This window comes from Homo sapiens, chromosome 11, assembly GCF_000001405.40.
Source record: "Homo sapiens chromosome 11, GRCh38.p14 Primary Assembly".
Classification (NCBI taxonomy): domain Eukaryota; kingdom Metazoa; phylum Chordata; class Mammalia; order Primates; family Hominidae; genus Homo; species Homo sapiens.
The window spans coordinates 86,421,365-86,434,925 of record NC_000011.10 but is presented as its reverse complement, the minus strand read 5'-3'; the positions used below and the strand labels follow the sequence as shown (position 1 = coordinate 86,434,925).

General features: G+C 41.5%; 1 protein-coding gene and 1 pseudogene across 2 annotated transcripts in view; both read right to left on the bottom strand.

Moving 5' to 3' along the window:
• Positions 49 to 3,519, bottom strand: PTP4A1P6 (PTP4A1 pseudogene 6; annotated as a pseudogene).
• The window catches only part of CCDC81 (coiled-coil domain containing 81), a 48,220-nt gene continuing 46,478 nt past the window's right edge, over positions 11,820 to 13,561 (bottom strand). For both annotated transcript variants that reach the window (NM_001156474.2, NM_021827.5), the window contains one exon: positions 11,820 to 12,352. In NM_001156474.2, the coding sequence (NP_001149946.1) occupies positions 12,211 to 12,352 (142 nt within the window). In that variant the 3' untranslated portion in view covers positions 11,820 to 12,210. The remainder of the gene's footprint in view (positions 12,353 to 13,561) is intronic.

Here is a 13,561-nt window from a genome sequence, read left to right as displayed (position 1 = left end):
CCAATTTTCCTTGTAATTCTGTCCATATTTGCTCTATTTACCTTGGACCAATGCATCTTTACCTTTTAACAAACACTTACTAAATTAAAAGTCCTAGACCATATGTTCTGCACAAGATCAAAACAACATTTTACTAGAAATATTTCATAGTCTCCTCTCATTCTGTCTTCAGGGCCCTCTGTGTTAAGTTACACCCCAACCGTAAACATTAACGGTAAGGCCTTTTTATTTGAAGACATTCAACACATGTGCTTCTGTACAACATGGATTTTGCATGAACTTTCAATCAGATGTCGATTTTTCAAAATGGAGGTTTTCATAACAAAATGAGATTAGACAAAGACATCAAATAACCACAAGATGTGTAAAGAATCCAACAAAATCACCTGTTGGACAAACCTGATGTATACTGGGACCCGTGTAGGATGGTAAACATGAAGCAGGCAAATAATCATATAGGCCCTACTTGCAGTGTTTGATATGACTTAAGGGATGAGCTACATAAAGTTATAGTTCCTGGAGTTTTAATTCTGTATGATACTAAAAATATACAAATTTTGTGCTGGGGATCTTGGCATCTAATCTCTAGATTTCTTATGTATTTTTTCTGGCATAGGAATAGCACTAAGCCAAACATAGAAGTTGCATTTCTGTTAAATTCGTGGCTTTTTGATATCCCTATGGAAGCTTCATCAGACTTATTCACTAAGCCCATATGTTGGCTAAAATGTACAATAAATTAGGTCTTTTCTCAAGTCCCACTTTCAAGGCAATAGCATCAGGCAGCCAGGTTTATTGAATACAACAGTTGTTTCTGTGACCACTGGAGTCTTTGAAGCTGAGAGGTGACAGCGTGCTGGCAGCCCTCACAGCCCCTGCTCACTCTCAGCGCCTCCTCGGCCTTGGTGCCCACCCTGGCCACGCTTGAGGAGCCCTTCAGCCCGCCACTGCACTGTGGGAGCCCCTTTCTAGGCTGGCCAAGGCCAGAGCTGGCTCCCTCAGCTTGCAGAGAGGTGTGGAGGGAGAGGCGCAAGCGGGAACCGGGGCTGCGCCCGGCGCTTGTGGGCCAGCTGGAGTTCCGGGTGGGCATGGGCTTGGCGGGCCACGCACTCAGAGCAGCCGGCCAGCCCTGCCGGCCCCAGGCAATGAGGGGCTTAGCACCCGGGCCAGCAGCCACGGAGGGTGTACTGGGTCCCCCAGCAGTGCCAGCCCACCAGCGCTGTGCTCGATTTCTCGCCAGGCCTTAGCTGCCTCCCCGCGGGGCAGGGCTCGGGACCTGCAGCCTGCCATGCCTGAGCCTCCCCACCTCCGTGGGCTCCTGTGCGGCCCGAGCCTCCCCGATAAGCGCTGCCCCCTGCTCCATGGCGCTCAGTCCCATCGACCACCCAAGGGCTGAGGAGTGCAGGCGAACGGCGCGGGACTGGCAGCCAGCTCCACCTGCGGCCCCGGTGCGGGATCCACTGGGTGAAGCCAGCTGGGCTCCTGACTCTGGTGGGGACTTGGAGAACCTTTATGTCTAGCTCAAGGTTTGTAAACACACCAATCAGCACCCTATGTCTAGCTCAGGGTTTGTGAATGCACCAGTTGACACTGTATCCAGCTACTCTGGTGGGGACCTGGAGAACCTTTATGTCTAGCTAAGAGATTGTAAATACACCAATCGGCAGTCTGTATCTAGCTCAAGGTTTGTAAACACACCAATCAGCACCCTGTGTCTAGCTCAGGGTTTGTGAATGCACCAATCTACACTCTGTATTTAGCTAATCTAGTGGGGACATGGAGAACTTTTGTGTCTAGCTCAGGGATTGTAAATGCACCAATCAGCACCCTGTCAAAACGGACCAATCAGCTCTCTGTAAAATGGACCAATCAGCAGGGTGTGGATGGGGCCAGATAAGAGAATAAAAGCAGGCTGCCCCAGCCAGCGGTGGCAACCAGCTAGGGTCCCCTTCCACGCTGTGGAAGCTTTGTTCTTTTGCTCTTTGCAATAAATCTTGCTGCTGCTCACTCTTTGGGACCACACTACCTTTACGAGCTGTAACACTCACCACAAAGATCTGCAGCTTCACTCCTGAAGCCAGCAAGACCACGAACCCACCAGGAGGAACGAACAACTCCAGACGCACCGCCTTAAGAGCTGTAACACTCACCACGAAGGTCTGCAGCTTCACTCCTGAGCCAGCGAGACCACGAACCCACCAGAAGGAAGAAACTCCGAACACATCCGAACATCAGAAGGAACAAACTCCGGACACGCCGCCTTTAAGAACTGTTAACACTCACCGCGAGGGTCCGCAGCTTCATTCTTGAAGTCAGTGAGACCAAGAACCCACCAATTCCGGACACAAAGCGAAGCCGCATTTGAGAATGATATTTCTCCAAATACAAAAGTTGCTTGCTGTTAAAAGCGCCGTGCCGTTTATCTCTAATAAACCGTACTGCATCTTCGTTTTTCATTCCACTTTCAATTAATGCTAGGGCAACAAGCACTGGAGTCCTCCCAAGACCTGCAACACAGTGAAGGCAATACAACAACCAGGTTCTTCACGAAACTTAACGTCTAGAAGACTTAAGCAGTGATCAACAATCTGGTTGGATGGTGATGAACCATCATCAAAAGCCCAATCCAGAAACTGGATTGGCCTTCTTTCTCCACAAGAGCAGGGTCATCAGTTGCTTCACATACTCTTACTATTGTGGTAACCCCGTATTTCTTAAGTTCTTCTAAAAATCTGTTTAAGGTCGAATTGGTTGGGTTGTGTATAATAAGAAATCTCATGTTCCCGTATGTGACTTCCACTGGAGCTGGGTGATTCATTGGAGCCATGTTAATTTAGTTAAAAAAAAAAAAAACTGATATGGTTACGAAAAAAATTAAAAATTTTTGAATACAGAAATGATGTCAAGAAACTGAAGTCTACGCCAATATACTCCACTTGAAATTCACAGAGCTTTGAATATGAAGTTGGTAGTGACAGGAAATGAAATGAACCTACCAACAAGAAGCTGCGGTTCTTCAATTCAGTAATTCTGGGCCAATGGAAAGGAAGTGCACCAAGGGTTACCCCATCTAGGTCAGAACTCTTGTAAAATGCTCTAATGATCTCAATTCTACACTTCTGTGTCCAGGTGACCCGCTCTGTGGGGGCTTCTTGGTGGGGCAGTAATGACTTTCCACCATTCACTTGTCCTCATAAAGTTCGTGCTGAACCTGGCAGTAATCTCCAGGGCCCTTTAGAAACTCTATAAATGCATTATCAAGAACACCACAGAAAGGAATATGTTTACTCACGAACGATGGTGGCCTAACCATACAGCTGGGCCCGCGGCGGCCGCAGCACTGCCCGGAGCAGCCGCAGCCGCAGTCGTGGCGGGGCAGCGGCGGCAGGGCACCAAACTCTAGGAGGACCAGCGGAGCGCCTCCACTGAGGCAATACGCACACGCGCAGGTGTCGTTGCGTCCCAAGTCGTCTCTTTCCTAGACTGCGCGCGACGCAGGAACCCCTTCACCAATCGTGGTTGGGCGGACCAATGAGGACGTCATCACGGCCGCCGCCGACGGGAGCCCCTTGCTGAGGCGAAGGAACGCTGGATGAATGCTGAGTTTCCTTGTCTCCCACTAGAGAGGAGAGGGGCTGAGGAGCGACGTGGGGGTGGTGGGATAGGAAGCCTGGAAGAGGCTGGAGAGAAACTGAAGGAAGACAGGTAAGGTAGCGAAAGGTTTCCCAGCCATTGACTCTGACTAGTGTATCTTTTTCTACCTGCTTCATGTTTAAGTATGTCTCTTGGGAACAACATAATATATGGAGCTTTTTTTCCGCATCAGTCCAGTCTGACAGACTTTTTTAGCTGAAAAAGTGCACGTATGCATTTTTGCCCTCTTATTTTATGCTATTTGACCCATATTTCTATATTTTTTACCTTTTCTTGACCTCTTTTGGATTACGATTTTCCCTCTACTCTTTTGGAAGTTTTCATTGGGGCTAATACTTCCTTAGCACTTATTTTAGGGTAAGCACTGTTCAAAGCTTTATATAAATGTAATACAAAACCCCTATGAATTAGATACTAGTGTCATTTCTACTGTCCTGACTTTAAAAACCTAAGCACAGAACGGTAATTTGCCCAAGGTCACACAGCTAGTAAATGGCAGAGATGAGACTTTTTTAAAAAATAATTTTAACTTTTATTATAGATTTAGGGGGTTCACGTGCACATTTGTTACATGGGTATATTGCGTGACCCAGAGTATGAATGATAATTCTGTCACTCAGATAGTGAGCATAGTACCCAAGAGGTAATTTTGCAAGGGCTAAGATTTGAATCCCGCGATTTTGGCTGTGGAGTCTCCCTCTCTAATACAGATGGTCTATTATATACCCTGTTTCTGTTCTTTTAGTGCTTAACTAACTTAGAAAAAGTCAAACATGGTTCAGAATCTTTTCCTGCCTCTTGAAGGAATTCAGCATGCTTTAACTATTAATGTCGTCAAGCATCTTAATCTTTTAACGCCACAAATTGGACATTATTGTTTGTACAAATCAATGTTTGTTTACATTTATTCATGTTATCAGTTTCTTTGCTCACTATTCCTTCTTGGAGCTCCATTCTTTCTGAGGTTACTTTCTTTTATCCAGAAGCATTTTTTTGGAGATTCCTTTGGGTATCGATACGTTGATAAATGTTTTATATATGCTAGAAAATCTCTCACTGTTGAATCCATTTCCCTTAATATTAGTAAACTGTATTTTGTTTTTTTCTTCAGGTTTCTTTTTTGGCTTTTTTCTAAAATTCTTTTATTTTCCCTTCATTGTTAAAAGTTTTGCTGGGTACACAATTCTTCACTGACATTTTCTCTCAGCCCTTTGAAGGAAAGAAGAAATAGGGCTTTATTGCAAGGGGCCATGTGAAGGTCAGGAAGCAAAGTCTAGACATTTTAGAAAATTGTAACAGCTGTTAGAGAAGAAACCTGAGAATAAGAATATCTTCAGAGGACTGAGACAAAATGTCAGTATAGAATTGTGTACTCAGAAAAACTATGTAAAAATGAAGGCAAAGTAACAGAATTTTAGGGAAAAAAACAAAAAAGAAAAGTGAAAGGGAATTTTCAAAAGCAAATTAAATCCTTTACTTTTGATAGCCTAAGCCTGTAAAAATGGTGAAGGAAAGCTATCTAGAACAGGGATTCTTGGCCTGTGGTCCAGGGGTTCTAGGAAACTTCTAACTGCATGCAAAATGTTGTATAGGAATATATACCTGTTTTTAGAAGAAGAGTATATATTTTTCATCAGATTCTTAGAAGAGTCCATGACTGTCCAAAACATTGAAAACCACTGAAATAGGGAAACCTTTGATACATTAATCTGGTCTGGCTGTGCTGTATTTCTGGAAAAGACAGAACTTGATGATAGCAAGTCGGGGCTAATTACAGAGTTAGACTAATACAAGAATAATAGTTAACAATGAGGATCATTGAAGAAGATCCAAATTATGAAGACTTGCTCAGAAATCAGCTGTTTAGTGAAGGACTATAATAAAGTTTGATTCTTAAAATGGTTGAATGATAGAAAACATATTAGACCTCATATCTATATAATTCATATAACCATGCCTCCATCTCAGTCTTGATAGACTGGAGCACACAGCCTTGACATCTGTTGTCATGACCCCTTCTTCTCTTCACCTGGCTTTTTCCCGTTGGTCATTAAAATTCAGCTTGGGCTTCATCTCCTCAAAAAGCTTTCCCTCTCTGTGCCATGGTAAACTTACCAGAAGGAATCTACCTTGTTCTTCTAACAACCAATGCACAATAATATTAGGTTTTTACCTTGTTATACAGGGGTTTTCTAGCTTTTACCTTGTTAAACCAGAGGTTTCACAATGGTATGAAACTGGAAATCATTAACAGGAGGAATTTTGGAAGATTCACAAATACATGGAAATTAAATATGCTCATGAACAATCAGCGTGCCAGTGAAGAAATTAAAAGGGAAATCTAGAAGTATCTTGAGACAAAAAAAAAGGAACACACAACATACCAAACTTTATGGAATGCAGCAAAAGCAGTTCTAAGAGGAAAGTTTATAGCAATAAATGCCTGCACCAAGAAAGAAAATTACAAATAACTAAAAGTTACACCTCTAGGAAATTTCTTTAAAACCCTAAGCCCAAGTTAGTTGAAGGAAAGAGATAATAAAGATCAGACCAGAAATAATCTAATCTCTATTTTATTTCTGCTCTGGAGATTAAAAAAAAATACAAAAGAAACTAAAAGTTCATATTTTGAAAAGATAAAATCAAACAGCCTTTAGCTAGACTAACCAAGAAAAGAAAAAGAGAAAAGACCCAAGTAAAATCAGAAATAAAGAAATCATTACAGTTGACAACACAGAAGTACAATGGATCATGAGAGACTATTATGAACAATTATATGCCAAAAACTTGAATTACCTAGAAGAAATGGATATATTCCTACACACATACAACCTGCCAAGACTGAATCATGAAGAAATAGAAAATCTGAGCAAACCAATAATGAGTGAGGAAATTGAATCATTAATACAAAGTATCTCACCAAAGAAAAGCCCAGGAACAGATGGCTTCACTGCTGAATTCTACCAAACATTTAAAGAAGAACTAATATCAGTTCTCTACAAACTGTCTCAGAAAAAAACAAACAAACAAAAAAACGAATGGGAGAGAATACTTTCAAATTCTTTTCAGGACCAGTATTACCCTAATACCAAAGCCACACAAGCACATCACAAGAAATGAAAACTACAAGCCAATATCCTTGATGAGCATAGATGCAAAAATCCTCAACAAAATACTAGCAAACCAAATCCAACAACACATTAATAGGATTATTCACCATCATCAAGTGGGATTTATCCCTGGGTTGCAAGAATGGTTGATTATTCTCAAATCAATAAATGTGATATATCACATGAACAGAATGAAGGACAAAAATCATATGACCATCTCATTAAATGCAGAAAAAGCATTTGACAAAACATCCTTTCATGATAAAAACACTCAACAAATTAATTACAGAATGAATATACTTCAGCACAATAAAGGCCATATATAATAAGCCTACAGCTAACATTATACTCAACAGTAAAAACTTGGAACTCTTTCTTCTAAGATCTGGACCAAGGATGTCAAGGATGTGCACTCTTGCCACTTCTGTTCAATGTAATATTGAAAGTCCTTAGAGCAATGAAGCAGAAGAAAGAAAGAAAAGACATCCAAGTAGGAAATGAAGAAATAAAACTACTGTTATTTGCTGACAACATAATTTTGCATACAGAAAACCTAAGGCCAAGTGTGGTGGCTCAAGCCTGTAATTCCAACCCTTTGGGAAACCAAGGCAGGAGGATCACTTAAGGCCAGGAGTTTGAAACCAGCCTGGTCAACATAGTGAGACCCCATCTCTACAAAAAGAAAAAAACCCTAAAGGTTTTAACAAAAAGCCATTAGAATTGATCAACAAATTCAGGAAAGTTGCAGGATACAAAATCAACACACAAAAGTCAGTAACATTTCTTTACATTAACAATGAACTTTCCAAAAAAGAAATCAAGAGAACATATCATTTACAGTAGCTACTAGAAATAAAATACTGAGGAATATGTTTAACCAATGAGGCGAAAGATTTATACAAAGAAAACTGTAAAACATTAATAAAAGAAACTGAAGAAGACAAATAAATTGAAATATATCCCATGTTCATGGACTGGAAGAATTAATATTGTTAAAATGTCCATACTACATGAATGATGTGCAGATTCAGTTCAATATCAAAATTCCAATGTTATTTTTCATAGATATAGAAAAAACAATCCTAAAATTAATATGGAACTACAAAACAGCCAAGGCAATCATGAGCAAAAAGAACAAAGCTTGAGGTATCACACTACCTAATTTCAAACTATACTACAAACTGATAGTAATTAAAACAGCATGATACTGGCATTAAAATAGACATTTGAACCAATGGACAGAATAAAGAACCCAGAAATGAAACCATGTATCTACAGCCAATTAATATTCACCAAAAGTGCCAAGAATATACAATGGGAAAAGGACAAGTTATTCTATAAATGGTGCTGGGAAAACTGGATATCCATAGACAAGAGAATGAAATTGGACCCTTATCTCACACCATATACAAAAATCAACTCAAAATGAATTAAAGACATAAACATAAAACCTGAAACTGTAAAACTACTAGAAGAAAACACAGGGAAAACTACATGACATTGGTCTGGGCAATGATTTTTTAGATTTGACCCAAAAATGCAGGCAACATTTGCAAAAGTGGACAAATGGGATTACATCAAAATAAAAAATTGCTACACAACAAAGAGAGCAATTAGTAGAGTGAAGAGAAAACCTACAGATTGGGAGAAAAATATTTGCAACCCATACATATGATAAGGGATTAATATCCAAAATATGTAAGGAACTCAACTCTATTAAAAAAAAAAAAGAGACATGGGCAAGGAACCTGAATAAACATTTCTCAAAAGAAGACATGTGAATGGCTAACAAATACACAAAAAAATGCCCAACATCACTAGTCATTAGAGAGATGAAAATTAAAACTACAAATAGCTACCACTTCACATGTATTAGAAAGGCTATTATCAAAAAGATAAAAGATAACAAGTGCTGGCTAAGATATGGGAAAAAGGGAACCCTTGTACACCGTTGGTGGGAGATATAAATTAGTACAGCCATTATGAAACACTGTATGAAGATTCCTCAAAAAACTAAAAATACAGTTACCATATGACCCAGCAATCTCACTTCTGGTTATTTGTCCCAAAGATTTGAAGTCAAATATGAATATATCAAAAGAGATGTTCATTGCAGCACTATTCACAACAGCCAAGATATGGAATCAACCAAGTGTCCAACAATAGATGAATAAATAAAGAAAATGTGGTATATATACACAATGGAATAATATTCAGCCATGAAAAAGAATGAAATGCTGTCATTTATGGCAACATGGATGGAACTGGAACTGAGAGAAATAAGCCAAGAACAGAAAGTTAAACACTGAATGTTCTCACTCATATGTGGAAGCTAAAAAATAGTTGATCTTAAAGACATAAAAAGGATATGTGGATAGCATTGGAGAATATTATGCTAAGTGAAATACACCAAACACAAACAAATACCACATGTTCTCATATGTGGAATCTACAACTCATATAAGTGGAGAGTAGAATGATAGTTCCCAGAGGGTGGGGGATGGGAGGAATGACGAGATGATAGTTGAATTGTACAAAGCCTCAGGAAAAAAAAGTTTGATTTTTTTTTTTTTGAGACAGAGTCTGGCTCTGTCACTCAGGTTGGAGTGTGGTGACATGATCTCAGCTCACTGCAACCTCTGCCTCCTGGATTCAAGTGATTTTCCTGCCTCAGCTTCTTGAGTAGCTGGGACTACAGGTGCATGCCACAACGCCCAGCTAATTTTTTGTATTTTTAGTAGAGACAGAGTTTCACCATGTTGGCTAGGCTCGTCTCGAACTCCTCACCTCAGGTGATCTGCCTGCCTCGGCCTCCGAAAGTGCTGGGATTACAGGCATGAGCCACCACGCCAAGCCAACTTTGATATATTTTTGAGATCTGTTGCACAGTGTGGTGAATATAATGAGCACTGTACATGTCAATATCACTAAAAGAATAAATTTTAAATATTCTTATCACAAAAAGTTAAATAAGGTGATGGACATTTTAATTCACTTGATTTAATTATTCCACATTGTATTCAAAAATCACAATATCACTTTATACCCCATAAATATATACAACATAAATATTACAAATAATTTGTCAATATATAATTTTTAAAAATAGTTTTTAAAGGGTCTGACTGTAGTACTGACTGCTACCTATGACAGTAAATTGTAAGTTCAATTCCTCCAGTGAAAAGGTCTATGAAGTTAAATCTGCTCACCTGAACATACCAAAATTAACTTTTTTTTCTTTAACAAGGAATTCTTTTTTTTTTTTGAGACAGAGTCTCGCTCTGTCACCAGGCTGCAGTACAGTGGCACGATCTCGGTTCACTGCAATGTCCACCTCTCAGGTTCAAGCAATTCTCCTGCCTCAGCCTCCTGAGTAGCTGGGACTACAGGCGCGTGCCACCACACCCAGCTAATTTTTGTATTTTTAGTAGAGACAGGGTTTCACCATGTTGGCCAGGATGGTCTCAATCTTTTGACCTCGTCAAAAGATTTGATCCACCCGCCTCGGCCTCCCAAAGTGCTGGGATTACAGGCATGTGCCACTGCACCCGGCCAGCATTCTATATTTTTAAAATATATTAGTACAACACTATTATAGTAATTTATTATATATTAGAAACAAATTACTTCAAGGGTGCAGCAGATATAGATTCAGGCAGGTCAGGCAGTCTTGGGGAAAGCCTATTGTTTTAAATATTGGTTAATGATGATTGGCCCTCCATAGAATGATTTTTTGAGGAAATGAAAGGCAGAAACGGAGAAAGATTAGGGAAGACGTTCCAAAAAATTGTGATCATCAGCAGGTATGCTTGTTTTCATAGAAAAAGATAACATTAGCAACAAAATTTGCCCAATATCAGCTTGAGTGAATATTTTCTCCACAATTATTCAGGGCTCAACACATTCCTATTTTGTATTTGTAGGGCAAAATGAAAGTTTAAATGTTCACAAACATCTTCCCACAAAAACTTTCCCTTATTTCCCAAGGGAGAGATGTGGCGGGCAGAAAGCAAATAGTCTAAAAGACATCCTTCTTAGCTTTTGTATTTCAGAAATCTAGACTTCACTCTGTTTTACTTCAATTGGTCAGACAGGGCAGGGAGAGGAGAAGAAAGTGTTGTACCTGAGCAAGTTAGAGAAAACGCCACACTTTGAGACAAATTAAGAGTCGGTTTATTTAGCCAGTGGCCAAGAGACGGCTAACGCTCAAAGTTCTCTCAGCCCCGAAGAAGGGGCTAGATTTTCTTTTATACTTTGGTTTAGAAAGGGGAAGGGGGTCTAGTTAAAACAATTTTACAGAAATAAAGTAGGCAAAAAGCTAAAAGGATAAATGGTTACAGGAAAGTAAACAGTTCCAGGTGCAGGGGCTTTAAGACTATTACAAGGTGATAGACTCAGGGCTTTGGGCGTTATCAGTCAGACGAATTCCTGGGAATTGTGGATATTGCTCGCCACAGTATCTTATCAGTTAATTGCATTCTTGGATGTGCAGCTTGCACAAGTTAAGTCCTTCAGGAAGGGGCTGCCAGTGAAAGAGCCAAGATAGAGTCTGTCTGGCTCTCTTAGCTAAGGGAGAGTCAATTCACGTGGAAACAAGGCTAGGTGATTAAAGGAAAAGGGAGAGTCTAAAAACAGGGTTAGTAAAAACAAGGTTGGGCATTACAAAAGTATGAAGATAAACGAAGAAAGTTTTTAGTTGAGAACAGCCATACCTTAACTGAAAGTCAGTCCTCTGACAGGGAGTTAAGTCCTCTTGAACAGCACCTACAGCTTAAGAATGAATGCAAGTGAAGTAGTGGGAGACTCACCTCACAGTGCACAGTTACTCCAAGGGTGTAGAAATAGCTGGACAAGGGAATGATATCTTGGGAAGGCCCACTAAAGTCCCAGGTATGTCATCAATGAGAAAACTCAGGGAGCATTGTTCTGGCCTCCTGGGGGTAAATAGTCTAACCCATCTCTGTGATATTCACACATATACCCCTCTGGAAAAGTCTAGGACTGGGGGAAGAGGGAGGGGTAAAATGTACCATTATGAATTGTCATGCACAGTCAGGCGCTTAAAAAATATTTATTATTGCCACTATTCATTACAGATGAAAAAAGTTTTGTACACAAAGTCATGGAGCAGCAGCAGGGCTGGGTCAGCAGCACCCCAGCAGCCATAATGAAGCTGGATCCCATTCCCAGCCCCTGTGCAGCAGGTTCTAGCCCTCAGGACCATTCAGACACCTTCACTGCCATCAGAAACTAGTATAGGAAATAATTGGGGGTGGGAGGAAAGCAGGAGTGAATTCAATAAGGGCTTAACAAGCAATCTAATGAAAGCACCAAACCTAAACAATGATTTTTTTCTCTGAGGTAAAAATACGCAGTTTCACAATCACCCCCAAACATGTAAAAGATAAAAACTTTCCCCGGGAAACGAAGAGCCAAACTTTGAGTTTTACACAAGCAACCGGGAGCCAGGCAGGAACTTGTTCAGGGGCCACAGGTTGCTCTCGCCCACGTTGGAGGTGCGCCTCTGGCATTGCTTGCAGCGCCGATACTTCTCACACTGGTCTAGGAGAAACAGCTTGTCTGAAGCCCTGAGGAGAGGAGAGCAAATGCCGATCAGCAGGTTCCTGGAGTTCCTGGAGGCCCAACTTGGAAGCTGGTATGGCAGGAGGTACACAAAAGAAAAGTGACACCTTGCGTTCTCTGCCTGTATGCTGCAGTTCACCCCATCCTGGCATCCCCTGCTTCCAGACTTCTGCTGGCTTGTCGTTCTCTACTAAATAAAAAGCCACGACTTGTGCCTTCACAACAGTCTGACCCTACCCCTCCCCAGCCTCAACCACCCAAGCCCACAGAGAACTTGCCGAAGGTCACACAGCCAGCAGACAGTGGCTCCAAAGCCTCTCTGTTGACTGCTTTCCCACGTGGATTACACCTCTACCTGTTGAGCTCCTGGGAGACAGTATTTGAGAGGCAGATCAACCATTAAGTTGCTGGTTATCAGCTAACAACAGCAGAGAGTTGAGAGGACTTACAATGAACTATCCCAGGAGGCCAGAAGCCTCTGGAGAGTTAAGGGCAGGAGAGGGAGTGGAGACAAAGAGGAAGACAAAAGCAACTAAAAGCAGAAATAAAGAGGCAGTAGTAACTGACTTTCCCCTTTGATGGTTTTTCTTCGTTACGCAAAACAGTCCCTCATGTGCTCCTCTACCCCATCAAAATTTCTCCATGGGTGGATTTTTTTTTTTTTTTTTGAGACTAGGTCTCCCTCTGTCACCAGCCTGGAGTGTGCGATCACAGCTCACTGCAGCCTCGACTTCCTGGGCTCCAGCGATCCTCCCACCTCAGCCTCCAGAGTAGCTGGAATGACAGGTGTGCACCACCACACCCAGCTAATTTTTGTACTTTTGGTAGAGATGGGGTTTCACCATGTTTGCTCAGGCTGGTCTCAAACTTCTGAACTCTAGCAATCCATCTGCCTCAGCCTCCTAAAGTGCTGTGATTACAGGCATGAGCCATGGCATCCAGCCAGAATTCTGTTTAAGAAGGATGATCGGCCGGGCGCGGTGGCTTACGCCTGTAATCCCAGCACTTTGGGAGGCCGAGGCGGGCGGATTGCGAGGTCAGGAGATCAAGACCATCCTGGCTAACACGGTGAAACCCTGTCTCTACTAAAAAACACAAAAAATTAGCCAGGCCTGGTGGCAGGCGCCTGTAGCCCCAGCTAGTCGGGATGCTGAGGCAGGAGAATGGCATGAACCCAGGAGACGGAGCTTGCAGTGAGCCGAGATCGCGCCACT